Source organism: Homo sapiens, chromosome 10 (assembly GCF_000001405.40).
Source record: "Homo sapiens chromosome 10, GRCh38.p14 Primary Assembly".
Taxonomy (NCBI): domain Eukaryota; kingdom Metazoa; phylum Chordata; class Mammalia; order Primates; family Hominidae; genus Homo; species Homo sapiens.
The window spans coordinates 3,496,651-3,513,889 of NC_000010.11; the positions used below are offsets into that span (position 1 = coordinate 3,496,651).

Below are 17,239 nucleotides of genomic sequence, written 5' to 3' on the forward strand. Positions count from 1 at the left end.
GCAGGTGTAGTTTAAGGACCTGAGTAATGATTTGATTGAGATAGAGGAATCCAGGAAAGGAAGGAGAGGGAGATGCGTAGAGGCTCAAAGGTTTGGTTCCTCCCTGTGGAACATCCAAGATTGTAAGGCACTTGGTTAGCAGTGCTGTGCTGGGGTGTTGAGGGTCTCAAGCTCAGGGAAGAGGGGTGGAACAGAGATACTTATTTGTGAGATATTAGCGTGACTGGATCCTTGATTTAGTCATCTCTGCCAAGTTCCTTTTACCAGGTAAAAGAACATTTTTGCAGGTTCTTTGGGTTAGGAAGCAGAGAGTATCATGACCATTGTTTTGCAAATCAATTTGAAATGTTAGATGGCATGAGCACATTCCTTGAAAAATACCACTAATTCCAGAACTAAAACAAGAAGTACAAAATCTTTATAACTCCATTTTTATGGATGGAATTGAACTTGTAATTTGAAACATTCTCAATAAGAAAAGTCAAGTCCAGAGGACTGAATCATTCAATCACTAAAAACACTGCAGGGAGAGCTGACACTAACCATCCATGAACTCAACCAGAAAATGGCAAAGGCAGGAACGCTTCGGACTCTCTGCATGAGGCCAGCGCAATCTTAATAACAAAACTTCACAAAGACATTGTAAGATAGGAAAATTACGGGCAGATTATTCTCATAAGCAGAGATACAAAACTCCTAGACGAAATATTAACAAACCAAATCTGTGGCATACAAAAAGAATTATACATTACAACCAAGTTGGGTTTATTCTATAAATGTGTGCCAAGATTTAAAATTCAAACAATGTGATTTATTATATTACCATTAAAACTCACAGGAGCATCTCAGTAGACACAAAATGAGCACTTGATATTTTCAACACCCATTCAAAATAAAATTGGTAGCAAACTACAGAGAGAGGTTTTGTTTATCTGAAAAAGGGTATCTCAAGAAAACCCTACAGAGGTTATCATACTTGATAATAAAACTTCGAAAACTTACTTTGTTTGTTGTTGGAAAGACCACAGCGTCTACTACAACTTCTACACGATAGTACACGGGATGTTCTCTTCACTGCAATAAGGCAAACAAAGGAAAAGTCGTGAGAATTGGAAAGATAAAGTAAAACTGTCATTTTGCATTATCAGCATGATTGTGTAGATAGAAAATATATTCGGATATACAGATCAACTATTAGAATAAGTCAGTGAGTTTAACAGCATTACCGATGAAAGGCTAATGTGAGAAATCAGGTGTGTTTCCATATACTTTAATGAACTGTGTAAAAATTTTATTTAAAGTGAAAACTTTTACAGTAGCAGAAAAAATAAAATTTCTAGGAATAAAAGTCATGTGTGCAAGAGTCTTTTACACAGAAAACTGTAAACATTACTGAGAGATATTCAAGAAGTCTTAAGAAAATAAACAGCATACATTATTGAAGGATTCTAAGAATCAATATTGTAATTAAGTTTATTCTCCTAAATTGATTTAAAAATTCAGTGTAACTCCTCTCATAATCTCAGCCCTTCTATTTTACAAATTGAAAAGCTGATCCTAAAATGTGTATGAAAACAAAAAGGATAAAAAATAATGAAGACAAATTGAGAATATAAAACAAGCTTAGAGGTCTTTTACTCTCAGATCTCAAACCTTGTTAAAGCTGCAGCAATGAAAATGGCATAGTGCTGATTGGTGTGAGAATAGACAAATAGGTCAGTGTCATAGAATAGAGTGCAGAAGAAAACCCACGCTTACTATTCACATGATTCGTGGGGAAAGAAAGAAGAGGGGAAAAAAAACTCTTTGCTATGCATTGAGGGAAAGCAATCTTTCTTATAAGTATGGATTGTTTCCATTATATATCCATATTTTTAAAAAGCCTTTGATCTCTACCTCACACAATAAACAAAAATCGTTCCAGGTGTTTTGTATTGAAATAAGAAAAATCAAAAATCTTTTCTAAAAGCGGTCATGAAAAAATACTGAGAAGACCTTGAAGAAATCAAAGATTTCTAAAACAATAAACATATACACAGAGGACTTACCACAGAAGAAAAAAAGACTGAAAACTAGTGCTTTAAACTAGAACTCTGTGTTACAGAATATACCATTAAGAGAATCAAAAGGCAAACCACAGTATAGAAGATAATTATGGTATATATATTCAACAAAGGTTCACACATAGAATATATATATGAAGAACTACTACAAACTAATAGGAAAAGAACATTCAATTGAAGGCAAAATGGGCTGAAAACTTCACTACACACACATCCTCCAAATAAGTGCTCTGAATGGTGGGCACCAAGGATCATCTGAGTACAAATTAAAATGACAGTGAATGAATGAAAATGAGACAGCACACCTGCCAAAATGGCACAAAAAAAGCAAAAAACAAACAAAAAAAATCTGACAATTAAAAGTGTCGACAAAGAAGAGCTCTCATTAACTCTGGCCAGAGCCTCATCTACCTGGAAAGGGTACTTTGTGGAACTATTTGCAGTATCTACTAAAAGGAATTTAGGCTTACCCAGTGAACAAACATTCCTCTTCTCTGAATGTACCCATGAGAAAAGAGTGCCTAGTACCAAGAGAAAAGATACTGGTGAAAATGTTTAGAGTAGCTTTTTCCATAAATAGCCCCAAGCTGGAAACAGCTCAAATGTCCATGAATAGTATTACGCTACATCGTGTTTATAGTCATACCAGGGAACGTAGACAGCAATGAAAAATAACTACAGATGCACACCCATAAGACAGATTGCTGAGTCAGTATACTCTCTTTGATACGTATAATTCTATTTATATAAAGAAAAAACCAGTAAAATAAGTTTATAATGACAGACATCAGAATAGTGGCTACCTATAGTGTTTTGTTTTGTTCTGTTTTGTTTTGTTTTGAGACAGGGTCTCACTCTGTTGCCCAGGCTGGAGTGCAGTGGCATGATCTTGGCTCACTGCAGCCTCTCTGGCTCAAGCCATCCTCCCACTTCAGGCTCCCCACTAGCTGGGACTATAGGCGCACACCACCACATCCAGCTAATTTTTGTATTTATTTATTATTCTTTTTTTTTGGTAGAGATTGAGTTTTGCCATGTTGCCCAGGCTGGTCTTGAACTCCTGAGTTCAAGCACTCCTCCTACCTCGGCCTCCCAAGGTGCTAGGATTACAGGCATGAGCCACTGTGCCTTGCCTGGTTACCTTTTGAAGGGCTATGATTGCAAGGGTAGGAAGGAGGGTTCTGGAATGGTAATAATGTTCTATTACTTGATCTGAATGATACTTATATTTATGTGCTAATTTTTCTCTAAATTAATCATATACTTATGACATGCATAATAAAGTCAAAATATTTTAAGGTCAAATTAATAAAGGGAATGTCCTAAATGAAGATATTCTGTCTGTGAACAATTATATAGTTATATGAGAGAACTTGCTGGGCATAATAGCTGTAACTTTAATCTTTATTAAATATTATTAAATAATAAGTCATTGTTAAATCTATTAAATAGATTTCTTAAATTGTCCCTAATTTTTCATGAGGGCGGTCTGTATCCATTAGCCAGGTGCCTGAGTTTAGCTAATTTTGGTTTTGGGCAGGAGTTGGGAAAGTCAGACTGTTATCTGACTGATTGTTCATGGACTTTAAAATTAGTCTTACACATACCCCAAGATTTAAAAAAAAAAAAATGACAAAAGAAACTGAAATTTCCTGGAAACAGCCGTCATTTGGGATTCAGAAGACAAAAGACATGATTCAAAACCCTGCCCCTTGCTCTTGACGGGCGATCCCTGCCCAGCCCTGAAAAGTCTCCCTGTTGTCCTGGCCCCTGTCCCAAAGCTGTGGCAATAACATGCACTCAAAGACGTGTTTGCTGGAAGAAGACATGTGAAGCATGAATGGAATTTTGCCTTGGCGATAACGTTGAATGTGCTGTTCTGCGATCCTGTACCAATAGGGCACCAGGCCCGCTCTGAAGTCCGCTAATGGCAATCCCCCTTTGTTCCCTCAGGGACACACAAAGCCACTGTTCCCATAGCAACCCTGCCAAGTGATGTCAGAAACCAGGGTTCGGCCTTGAAGGCTACAACACAAGTGCGGTGTTGACCAGCTAGCAATGACGACAACCCCGAAGACAGCGCCGTGCCTCCAGCAACAGAAATCAGCAGTGCACGTGTGTGCACACACTGTGTCTTGTTTTATGCTTAAAAATTGTGAATAATCCATTTTTAAGTGTGTGTATTCTCTAGAAGCCTGTGTTTCTCCTGATGTGTGTTTTATGCTTAAAAATTGTAAATAATCCATTTTTAAGTGTGTATATTCTTTAGAAGCCCGTGTTTCTCCTGATGTGTCATATCACTTGGAAAATCAGATTTCCTTTTGCTTTCATGAAGACCTATTTTCTGAAATTGAAGATGAAATGATTCATTTGCTCAAACCCTTAAAATGTCCTGACTTTATTCCTTAGGGAGGTTCATCATGTTCAGAGGAGAAGAGAGTGAAGGATTGTTTAATAAAGACCAATCATGTAAATTTTATGATATACATCATTGTTTTAATATACATAGTTGTTTGACTTGGAGAACTCACAGTAAAGAAGACAATTATAGAAATATATTATGGATTTTTGGCTGGGCACGGTGACTCATGCCTGTAATTGAAGCACTCTGGGAGACCAAGGCGGGTGGATCACCTGAGGTTGGGAGTTCGAGACCAGCCTGGCCAATATGGTGAAACCCCATCTCTACTAAAAATACAAAAATTAGCCGGGCATGATGGTGGGCACCTGTAATCCCAGTTACATGGGAGGCTGAAGCAGGAGAATTGCTTGAACCTGGGAGGTGGAGATTGCAGTGAGCCGAGATCGCATCACACACACCAGCCCGGGCAACGAGAGCAAAACTCTCAAAAAAAAAAAAAAAGAAAAGAAATATATTATGGATTTTTAAAAGAGAAAATATTTTATAAAAATTCTAACCTCACTGTCAAATAGCAATCGGCCTCTTTCCTTCAGTTTCCAGGGAAATCAATAGCAGCTCAAATTTAGAAGTTCTGCTTTGAGCCTTTTCAAATCACGCTGTGATTGAGCATTTTACGTGTGACACCATTAGCCAGAGGAACAATCCTGGTTCTGTTGTGTTTTTTTTTTTCTTTTTCAATAGATTTTAGAGAGAAAATGAGACATTGATTGAAGGGTAATCCTTAACATAGAAGGGATTGGAATAACTGTTAAATTTTGCAGATTCTTCAGTTAAACTACTGTGAAAGTCTTGACGTTAGCCTACAAAAAAGCCTTTTATTACAAACTCCATACTTGCTAAAGTGCTGTCTTTTGATACTGCAGTTTTGTTTCTGTAATATATTTATTATTCAGAACAAATGAAATTCTCCAATGTATTTTGCTTGTTAATGTCATTTACCCACGATCTATGAAATGACTAAACTTATACATATATATACACACACATATTAACATTTATGCATCTGTACATTTTATGTATCTGCACCAGTGATATAACAATAATTTTTATTCCTATGTTACATAAAAACTTAGTAGTGAGTCTCATTCAACTTCACAACCCATGAAATAATTTCTGTTTCAACCTATATGAGCCAAGGGGAAATTGTTTAAATAATATATTTATATTTCATATTTTAAAATGGTCTCTATCTTACCAAAAAAGTGACACAGGCATACTGCTGAGATAAGGCAAATGTGCAGCAGTCACAGGAATAGCAGTGCTCACTGGGTGCTGGTACAGTTTCAGGTATTGGGCTGGGAGTTGTCCAGTCGTCACCTTCTTTAATCTTCACGACAACTCTAACATCGAGTGCTGTAGTTCCCAATTTACTGGGGCAAAAAGACAGGTTACGTCACTGGCTGAAACGGGCTGACCTCAGTGTCAAATCCAGGTTTTGCTGGTCACAGAAACAAAGCTTTTAAAAATCTCTCCAAATACTACCTCTAGGATTCCTGGAGGCCAGACACCCTAAAGACCAGCAGGAGCCTCTGACACTCCATCCACGCCCCCACTACAGGGAACTGGTGATTACACGATGAATAAACGCATCTTACAAGAATGGGAGCCACCACTTAGGGCCAAGCTATTTGTGACTAAAAAGCAAACAAAAGAATCTGCTCAAGGTGAAATTTGATCGTTGCCCATTGACTCTCAGGTGACATGGCCTCCAAGTATAACAGTGAATCCCCCGAGGGCCAAAAATTGCCTTGGAAAATATGATTGTGACCTCTATTTCTCTGTTGCCATGGAGTTATGCCTCTTGTCTGTTGATGGAAGGTCAATCATTGTATTTACACGCAGTGAACAGTGAACATATATAATGCCTATGGTCTATTATTATTTCTTTGCAGGAGGTTTATTACAGGGTTTGGTATGCAATCTAAATTAAATGTCTCGAGAAAAATAATGCTTTTAAGTTTAGGCAATTTTAGAGAATTCTTTGAGTGAGATTCCCTCTTTAAAATTCCACTGAATTTTCTGATTGCCTTTGAAGTTGTTTCTGTCTGAAACTAGTATATTTATTTCCTTTTTAAAGGAGATTTTTTCTTTTCAATCATCTACTACAAAATAACTTTCTTTTATGTTTATGAGACATTAGATACAATTATTTTCTAAGTCCATCTCTGTAAACAACTTTGTAATTTTTAGCCTTTCAAATGTCATTATCATAAACACGAATCAGCACTGGTTCTGCTCCTTGTTGGCTTTGAAGCGGCATTTAAAATCCCCGTGGCTCTGAAGCCCTCATCGACCTGGGTCACCTGGGTGAGTAAATTCAGCCAGCAAGTTACTGTGGGTTCCACGTTATCGTTTTCCAAATTCCTGGCACTGCTGATACGTGCAAGCTGCCCACTTTGAAAATGGAATGTGCCATTTCATCCTACTCAAAAGTGGGTGGAGAGAAAGAAGTGTTTCACTGAGGGTATTTGTGCGAGTGGACTGCGGATGGTGGAGGAATCGTGCTTCGCACTGTGGCGGCTGGTTTTTGGCCATCCTCTCAATGAGCGCTTTAAAGCTGAGTCCATTAGATTATATTTTAGGCTCAGGGGTCTTATAGGTCATTTCACTCTACACTCCTCTTTGAATCCTGGAAAGATTAAGTATGATAGGCAACTTATTTAGTGCTCTTGCCACCAGTGTTTTGATGGGTCAGTCAAAAGCACATGTCGTTGAAGGTGCAGTAACCTCTGATGGGCTGTGTTCTGCTCAGTGGAGCAACAATAAATCTTATTTTTTCCAACCCTTGGCAGATACCTGTTAAATAAGCTTTGTTGATTTCTTCCCACATTCTCCCTGTTGGGTCGGGGTTCAGTCATTTGCTAACCGTATTATTTTGAGCAAGTCACTTCACCTCTCTAAGTCTAATAAAATACAAATAATGGTGACACCCTTGTAGATGGCTGTAAGGATGCAATGAGCACCGGTCCATGAAGCACTAGGCACAAAACACAAATTAACTCCCAAATATTTTCAGAACACAACATATTCAGTCACGGCATGTGTAGAGAACATGTGTCACTCTGTAGTTGGCTTGTGATGGAGAGCCTGCAGCCTGGACTCGGCTGTGCTGAGAGCTGAAGGAACCACATGGCTGAGTGGTCTTGGGAGACCCATCTCCTGCCCAGTGCACCGAAGCTGGGACACTGAGGCTTAAGCTACTGGCTTGTGCTGGGAGGTGAGAAGGCTCTGACCCAGGGTGAATTCCAGAGAATGCACCGTCTATGTGTAAGCACTGGATAGCAATGCATAGGAATTATCAAGATGTCTTTATGTGTGTGCATATATTTTTAGAAGTTTTAAAAAGTATGAAAATACCAGCTGGGCACAGTGGCTCATGCCTGTAATCCCAGCACTTTGGGAGGCTGAGGTGGGTGGATCCCCTGAGGTCAGGAGTTCGAGACCAGCTTGACCAACATGGAGAAACCCCTTATCTACCAAAAAAAAAAAAATACAAAATTAGCCGGGCTTGGTGGTGCATGCCTGTGATCCCAGCTACTCAGGAGGCTGAGGCAGGAGAATCGCTTGAACCCGGGAGGAGGAAGTTGCAGTGAGCCGAGATCGCGCCACTGCACTCCAACCTGGGCAATAAGAGTGAAACTCCGTCTCAAAAAAAAAAAAGAAAAGAAAATATCAATGTATTAAATTTGGAAGACTGTACCATTGGAAAAATCCTGTAGTCCAAAAAGTTATTAGGATATATGTTTTTTTCTATATGTATACTTAGGTAAAGAAACAGTGTACAGGGCTGAGTGAGGACTGAATTCTAGTTCTCACCTTGCCACGATGCAACTTAGATGCATCTTTTTAATCTTTCTAAGCCTCAGTTGTCTCATCTGTGAAATTAATAGATTAGGCCACATAATCTTTAAAATTCCCTCTACTGATATTTTATGGTCCCAAAAATATTCTTGGCATGCATGCGGAGCTGAGAATGTCCACTATGATTTGTAAGATTATTTTCATACCCCCATGCTTTAACTGTTCAAGTTTACCTTGTTGTGGATATGATGGAGTCTAGCTTGTGCTGTGACTTTTCCCCACATTTGCCCTATGTCAGAGGCTGGCTGAAAGCCAGCAGGGGTACATTCTAGCATAGGTGTAAAGACTTACAAAGAGGCGAAGTAGATTCTTCTATACAGTAGTATCACTGGACACCCCGTGGCTCATGCCTGTAATCCCAGCACTTTGGGAGGCTGAGGCAGTCAGATCACCTGAGGTCAGGAGTTTGAGACCAGCCTGGCCAACATAGTGAAATCCCATCTCTACTAAAAATACAAAAATTAGCTGGGCGTAGTGGCACATGCCTGTAATCCCAGCTACTCAGGAGGCTGAGGCAAGAGAATGGCTTGAACCTGGGAGGCGGAAGTTGCAGTGAACCGAGATCAGACCACTGCACTCCAGCCTGGGGGGCACAGCAAGACTTTGTCTTAATAAACAGACAAACAAACAAACAAACAAACAGTAGCATAGACAAAACTCAAATTCTTCTTGCATTTATAGCCTCCTTCTTTAAGTATGAAAATCCTTTGCAATTTTTCAGATTCTCTGGACACAAAAAAAATTTATTTTCTTTTAGCTACCATAATGGATTAAATTATAAATTGAATTTCCAGGGCTGGCCACGGTGGCTCACACCTATAATCCCAGCACTTTGGGAGGCTGAGGTGGGTGGATTGCTTGAGGTCAGGAGTTTAAGACCAGCCTGATCAACATGGTGAAATCCCATCTCTACTAAAAATACAAAAATTAGCTGGGTGTGGTGGCGTGTGCCTGTAATCCCAGTTACCCGGGAGGCAGAGGCAGGAGAATCACTTGAACCCAGGAGGTGGAGGTTGCAGTGAGCAGAAATTGCACCACTGCATTCCAGCCTGGGAGACAGAGCAAGACTCCATCTGAAAAAAAAAAAAAAAAAAAGAATTTCCAGTTTGGCTTTAATGAATAGACTTCTGTTTCTGTATCTCTTTCCCCAGATATGAATAGAGATATAATATTCTTATATAATGTATGTGGGGTCTAACTTTCAAAATCACCTAAAGTACGCAATATAATTTGTTTGAATAAACCATTCATTTAGAACAGGTAGGCACTTAATTTTCTGTTTCATAAGCATTTTCCTTGAAGTCTCGAAATGCACTTTTTTGCTTTTAGGACAGTGTCAAGTCTCCAGAAGGGTAATTTTAAAATCAAGGGTTCTCTGTACATGCTTGTCTGTCTTTACTTTGCAGAAGACTTCACCTTACTGGCCTTCAGGTCTTGACAGATGGAACTTGATCTAAGAGCAGAAACCATTTCTCAGGTTTTCTAGCCTCTGAGAGCATCAGAGAATCCTCTGCATTGTACCCCTGCGGTCTGCCCTGATTAGGGTTCAGGTAATACTGATTTGACCAGTGAGAAAGCAAGAGGTGGAAAGATTTCCACAGGGCAGCTGTAATATTGCTTTCTATATGCACTATGCTTTGGTTTCGATTCATCATTTCTTAGGAAAAACCCTAAAATATTTGTGTGTGGCTTTGGAGAGTGACATAAAGACCTTCCCCTCAAAGAGCATAGGGCTCTAATGGAGAGCTGGCAGCTGAAAGGCATCCTGCCTTTCTGGGTCCTACAAGGTGTATAATTTCATGTTCTGCAGAGCAGTGAGGTGGAGTTAGACTGAGAAAGGTGTTTTCACAGTTTTCAGGAGCAGCCTTCCGGAGAATAAAAAGTTAAAACTTAGTGGCTTCAGACAACATTTTTGATCTAACAATTCTTGGAGTAAGGCAACTGGGCACAGTGAGGCCGGGGCTTCAGACCCTCCATCCCTCACAGAACTGTGGTCATCACAAGGTCCTCCCAGGAGGACCCACGCTGAGCTTGTTGTCAAGACTCACCCTCTTGGGCTACTGGGAGCTTCAGCTGTTGGCCACCCTGAACCCTTGCCTTATAGGCCTCTCCACAGAACATCCCACCACGTGGCAGCTGGCACTGTCAGAACCACCAGGAAAAGTCAACTGACATCCGTCTCTTCTTCCATGAGATTACAAAGTGTATGTTTCCTGGTCCCTGATGGATTTAGAATTTTCTCTACTGTCCTACTGTGTACATCCTTCATGATCATGCCTTTTATTCCCCCTCTTTGCTTGCCCTTTGTTATTTTGATAGAGTTTCCTTTATTCCATAGTCTTGTCTTCTCCACTGACTTGGTATCTCTCATCTTTTAGTGGCTATCTTTAAATGTTTAGTGGTTATTTTTCTATAACAAGATTGTATTTTTCTAACAGAGTGCAAACTTGGTCTCTTTTTTCTTGTCTGGAACAGCACAAGGACTTTAGCACACTTTAATTATCTGAAAGTCTTCATTGCCCAACTTTCCTTTTATTATTGTCTACATAAATATCAGAAGAGCAGAGTGCAGTATTGTGGTCAGTAGAAGAAAGGCCCGCTGAACACTTCTTTACGGCTGATGGGACTGTAAACTAATACAGCTGCTATGGAAAACAGTGTGGAAATTCCTTAAAGAACTAGAAGTAGAACTACCATTTGATCCAGCAATCCCACTACTGGGTATCTACCCAGAGGAAAAAAAGTCATTCTAAAAAAAGGATACTTGCACATGCATGTTTATAGCAGCACAATTTGCAATTGCAAAAATATGGAACCAGCCCAAATGCCCATCCTTTAATGAGTGGATAAAGAAAATGTGGTACACACACACTCTCACACTCTCTCTCTCTCACACACACACACACACACACACACACACACACACACACACCATGGAATACTACTCAGCCATAAAAAAGAATGAAATAATGGCATTTGGAGCAACCTGGATGGAATTGAGACCATTATTCTAAGTGATGTAACTCAGGAATGGGAAACCAAACATTGTATATTCTTATAAGTGGGAGCTAAGCTATGAGAATGCAAAGGCGTAAGAATGGTACAATGGACTTTGAGGACTCGGGGGGAAGGGTGGGGGGTGGTGAGGGATAAGAGACTACACATTGGGTACACCAAAATCTCACAAATCACCACTAATGAACTTATTCATGTAACTAAACACCACCTGTTCCCAAAAAATCTATTGAAATAAAAAAATCATAAAAGATGAAAATAAATAAAAAATAAAAGCAAGAATAGCCCCTCAAAGATGCCCATGTCCTAATCCCAGAACCTGCAAATGTATTGCCTCACATAATACAATGGCCTTCCCAGATATGATTTAAGTTCTTGAGGTGTGGAGATCATTCTGGGTTATCTGATCTGCCCAATTTAATCACAACGTTTCCTATTATGTAAGAGGGAGGTGGGAGGATCAGGGTCAGAGAGGAGACTTGAGGAGGGAAGCAGAGGTTGGAGCAATGGACCTTGAAGAGGGAGGAAAGGCCTAGGGACCATGGAGTGCAGGTGGCTTCTAGAAAACGGAGAAGTGAGGAAATTGATTTTCCTCTAGGTCCCCAGAAAGAAGGTGGCCCTGAGAACACATGATTCCAGCCCAGTAAAATGCATTTTAGACTTTCGACCTTCTGAGTAGTAAAATGATGAATTTGTCTTGAAGCCAAATTTTTAATGATTCGCCACAGCAGCTCTTCGGAAACCTGCATAGCTTTTGGCCCCTGGAAGTGGGGAGCTGTTGTAACAAACAACCAAGATCTTGGAAGTGGCTTTGGAATCGGGGGAGTGGCTTTGGAACCAGGTAATGTGCAAAGGCTGAAGAATTTAAGGAGCATGACAATAAAGGCAAGATTGCCCTGAAGAGACTCTAAGAAATCCAGACGTCAAAGGCCCTGCCCATGGGGGTCAGAGGGGAGTGAGGAGCACAGTGGAGGAGGCTGTGTCATGGTCAGACACCTACATCATCTCAAGCCAGCGGTTGGTGGAAATGAGTCTTTGAGGTGCTGCCGGTGATGGCTCAGAAGAAAAGGAGAAGCATGTTAATGAAAACGGGAGGAAAGAAGGTGCACGCAGCAGCAGAAAGCTTAAGAATTGTGTCCTACAGCAGCAGAAAGCTTAGGAACTGTTTTGCGGAAAGCAGGACATATGAGTGATGAACTTGGATGGTCAGCTGAGAGACTTCCAAGCATAGTGTTAAAGGTGTGGACTGGCTTCTTCTTAATGATTCTAGTAAGATGTGACAGGAAAACAATAAACTCAGGGAATAACTGTTAAGCAAAAAGGAATTGGAACTTGATGATTTGGAAAATTTTCAGCCTGTCCAGATTGTAAAACCTGCCAAAATTAGGAGACTCACTGTCAGGAAAGCATGTTCTGGGGAGAAAGTCAAGGGTATGGTATGGCTGGACAGCCTTTCGTTACTGCCTTGGAAAGATCAAAAGGTCAAAGTGTTCACTCATACCGAGGGCTCTTTGGGTAAATTAAACATGTGACTCATGAACTCCCTCAGCCCTTGCAGCAGAGCCCAGGAGTAGAGATGGGGTCACCGGGGACAAACCTGCAGAGAGCCCTCACAGTCTACAGATGTGAATTACTGTGGCCTTTGCAGGAGATCCACAAGGTTTTTGAGAATGTTCTATCAGCAGAAACACTGCCAGCTTGAAATGAGCAGAACAGAGAAGGGATGAAATGAAGGAAAACTGTCAGACTCCCCAAACTCCACAGGCAGAAAACAGGTGGATGAAACTACTCAGCGGCAAACCCACGCCAGCCTTTGGAAAAATGGAAGGATGACTGTGAGGGCAGAGCCGAGGGCTCAGCAGGAGGCAGAGACTCAAGCCACAGTGCATTATTCTCAGGCCTTGAAACCTAATGGAGTTTGCATGGTTGGATTCTGAAATTGCTTAGGACCAGTGAGAACTCATTTTATTCTTTCCTGTCTGCATTTTTTGTATGGGAAGACCTTGGATAGTCTTATTATTCCTTTTTTGAGAAATGCAATTCTCACAGGTTCCCAGATGAGAGACATTTTGACCTGGGTTGGATCATGCCCAGCATCTCACCCATACCTGGTTTAGATGATGAGATCTGGGACTTTTGAACTCATAAGACTCAGATGAGATTTTGGACTTGAGTAGACACTGTATTGGGTGGAGACACTTGGGGACCTTGAGATAGGTGAATGTATTTTGCATGGGGGGTGAATGCATTTTGAATCTTTGGGCATCGGAGGACAGACTGTGGTTGGCTGAATAATCACTCCACTAAGATGTCCACGCCCCAATCCCTGGAACCTATTAATGTGTTGCTTTATGGCAAAAGGGACTCTGCAGCTGTGTTTAAATTAAAGATTGTGAGGTGGGGAGATTATCTTGGATTTCCCCAGTGAGCCCCAAGGAATCACAGCAGTCCTTTAAATTGCAGCAGGCAGGTGAAAGAGAGAGAAACAGAAAAAGAAGCCGGCATGAGAGGGACTGGCTGGGCATTGCTGCTAGCTCTGAAGATGGAAGGATGGAGTTAATGGAAACCCAGAATGTTTCACCCTAAAATAGACTTCTTGGGCGTATTTTGATACAGCTATTCAGAAGGGCTGCATGAAACAAAAGCAGCTCTGACAAGCTGTCTTGTGTGGGGAGATTTGCATCTGTAGGGAAAATGTTTTGCCTACATCAGAGACATAAACACCGAATGCACACAGGCTTTCTCTGAGGCACCCCTTCCCCAGATCTGGGAAGGATTAACTACAGGAAAGGAGACCACAGGTCTAACACTCTTAATGGTGTGACATAGGGACCTCTACCCTAGGACACCATCTATACTTCCCAAGAGCTGCTTCTTCCTGTGAGGTTTTGTCTGCATCACATACGACCTTGCTGGCCCCAACTCTCCTCCTCCCGCCCTCCCATAGCCTGTTTCACCTCGCACCAAGCCTCACTTCTTCCTGTAACTTCAGGATGGTGTAAAGGCTTCAGTCATCTGGGCCCTCCTTTGCGTTTCCTACTTTGTGTACGACTATCATCTCTGCATGCACTTTAATAAATGTGTATGCCTTTTCTTCCCTGTTAACCTGCCTTTCGTTACAGAGGTGTCCCAACTGAGACCTTATGAATGAGGGCTGAGAAAATAAACTATAATTTTTCTCCCCTTCAGAGTCATGAGCCAAGGAAGGCAGGCAGTGCCTAGAAACTGGAAAAGGCAAAAACCAGATTCTCCCCTGGAGACTTCTGAAGAAATGCACTTTGCTGGCATTCTCCTTTTAGCCCTTGAGACCCATTTCATGCTTCTGACTTCCAGAACTATAGGTTGATAAATTCCTGTTGCTGGAACCCATTAAGTTTTTGTTATATTAGCAATGGGAAACAAACACAGGGCTGTTGAAACAGGGTTGCTTATAACCTTCGGTGCTGGTTGGGCATACAGATGCCAGGGTTGCCCCTGTTCTTCTGTAAAACGGGTCTACTGAGTCCTAAGTTTTATGTGCAAGAAGCAATTCCTCTTAATAAGTGGCTTTAGACCAACCGAAGTATTGGAAGGGATTTTGAATAGTTTGGAGGCAGCTAGGGGCAGTGGGTTTTATACAAGACGAGAGAGAGGACAGGAAGCCACTTCTAGGTCAGTGTTGAGCTGTCCCAGGTACCTGCACATCTCAGCCCAAGTCTGAGGGCTGCCAGACTTTGAGAACTGGGCAGTGAAGAGGTGAATGCAATAGAGGACTGATATGAGCAATTGAAGACAAATGAATCCATGCAAGGAGCCACGGGAAATAACACAATCACTTCCGGGTCATCTCCTTGCATACTGAATGAAGAAAATGGATTGAAACTAAGATTCTGCATTGGAACAAACACCATGCACCAGGTCCAAAGATGGACTTGCCTGAAATACTTGCCTATTTATGCAAAATTATTCTTAGAATGAGAGGGCGTTTTCTAATTTTCTTAGCCTGACACAGGATCAATAGAAAACTGAATGTGCCTAATATATTCTTGTTTGCAAAAGGGCAGAACACATCTGTAGGATTACATTGGAAAAGGCAAGTAAAAAAAATAATGTAGACATGAATAATATAGCTACGACATTTTAAAAACCATGCGGGGCTGAGAGATGAAGATCCGAACGCAGCTATCAGTGCACGAGGCACCTACACAGAAGTGCAGCAGGTAGAACGGCCATATGTCTTCGTTTAATTATGGAAAAATCACAAATGGGGGATCGTTGCTTTAGTGAAAGCTGTCGAGAAGAGGAATCGAAAAAGCATCTGCCGTGGAGATTTTGGGCATGTTTCTGGAAAATGGCCAAAACTGTAAGTGCCTCAAGGTCGTCCTCCTAGCCCAGGTGTCAGTGATAAGCCCAGGGGGATAAGCCCAGGGGGACCCTATGTTCTTCTGCCCTTGGACCTTCACAGGAAGGCGCCCCCCACAGGACACATGGGATATGTCCGTGACACATGCAGCACAACGCCTGGAGACACCTTCCTGTAAACACTCAGCACAGTCAGCTCTGGGCTCTGTTTAGTGGTTTCTTTTTGTTTTGTTTTGTTTTTTCAAAATTAAGATTAAAAATAGAGCCAATTCTACCATTTTTCTTAATTGCTCAGAAAGACAAAAAAAAAAAAAGATTGTAAGATGCTAGCTCTTTTTTTTTTTTTTTTTGAGATGGAGTCTCACTCTGTTGCCCAGGCTGGAGTGCAGTGGCGCTATCTCAGCTCACTGCAAGCTCCGCCTCCCGGGTTCACGCTATTCTCCTGCCTCAGCCTCCCAAGTAGCTGGGACTACAGGTGCGCACCACCACACCCAGCTAATTTTTTGTATTTTTTTGTTTGTTTTTTAGTAGAGACGGGGTTTCACCATGTTAGCCAGGATGGTCTCGATCTTCTGACCTCGTGATCCGCCTGCCTCAGCCTCCCAAAGTGCTGGGATTACAGGTGTGAACTACCATGCCCCGTCCCAAGATGCTAGCTCTTAAATGGCCCGTGCAGATAATTCTCAGCTATTCTTCTCATGTTTGGGAAGCAGGACTCAATGACTGCTCCAGGCTCACCTCCCACACCATGGCTGAGGCAGGCTCTGATGGGGCCTGTCTTCTCTCCCAGCTGTCTTCCCCTGCACTGAGGTTACCAATTGCTAGAGGTGATGAAAGGGAAAATGGTGCAGCCTCTCTGCTGTGACTTAGGCATGTTTTGAAGTTGCTGCTTGGTGTGAAGGCATTGATGAGAGATCCACAAAGTGCTCTTAGGAGCACCGGGGTGTGACATTGGAAGCTCTCACAGGACCATGTGCTTCCCCCTATAGAGGGTGATGGAGTTTTAAGAAGGATAAACACCCATTAGAGTTCCGGTCCCACTGTTAGAACTTAAGTCACTCAGCCCCTCTGAGTTGCAGTTTCCACATATATAAAATGGGTAGAATAATAACACCTGTCTCATAAGGTTGTTGGAAAAGTTACATAAAATAGTACATCAAGCACCTTCCCAACCTACAGGAAGCCCTCAGCAGCTGTGAGTGAGCTATGAGTCCCTCTGTGCATGAGCTTCCAGTCTGAGCTGTATGGCAGCTTCCAGGGTTCTGCAGCTATCCCAGGTGCAGGTTTAGAAAGCCAGTTTCCTAACCTAAATAATGGAGGAACCTCTGATATGGGTTGGCTGTGTCCCCACCCAAATCTCATCTTGAATTGTAGCTCCCTATAATCTCCATGTGTCGTCGGAGGGACCGAGTGGGAGGTAATTGAATCAGGGGGCAGGTCTTTCCCATGCTGTTCTCAAGACAGTGAATGAGTCTCATGAGATCTGATGGTTTTATAAGGGGTTTCCTCTTTCCCTTGGCTCTCATTCTCTCTTGTC

General features: G+C 41.6%; 3 long non-coding RNA genes across 6 annotated transcripts in view; 2 read left to right on the plus strand and 1 right to left on the minus strand.

Annotated features, from left to right (window-relative positions):
* The window catches only part of LOC124902538 (uncharacterized), a 51,559-nt gene extending 47,017 nt beyond the window's left edge, over positions 1-4,542 (plus strand). Inside the window, exon 2 of the long non-coding RNA XR_007062362.1 lies at positions 4,017-4,542. This is a non-coding gene — a long non-coding RNA (uncharacterized LOC124902538). The remainder of the gene's footprint in view (positions 1-4,016) is intronic.
* The window catches only part of LINC02669 (long intergenic non-protein coding RNA 2669), a 69,327-nt gene extending 63,139 nt beyond the window's left edge, over positions 1-6,188 (minus strand). For all 4 annotated transcript variants that reach the window (NR_155743.1, NR_155744.1, NR_155746.1 and 1 more), the window contains exons 1-3: positions 5,681-6,188; positions 2,534-2,584; positions 1,003-1,074 (exon numbers count right to left, since the gene is read on the minus strand). This is a non-coding gene — a long non-coding RNA (long intergenic non-protein coding RNA 2669). The remainder of the gene's footprint in view (positions 1-1,002; positions 1,075-2,533; positions 2,585-5,680) is intronic.
* LOC105376360 (uncharacterized) overlaps positions 1-17,239 on the plus strand; it is a 432,070-nt gene that overhangs the window by 177,956 nt on the left and 236,875 nt on the right. The window lies entirely within an intron of this gene.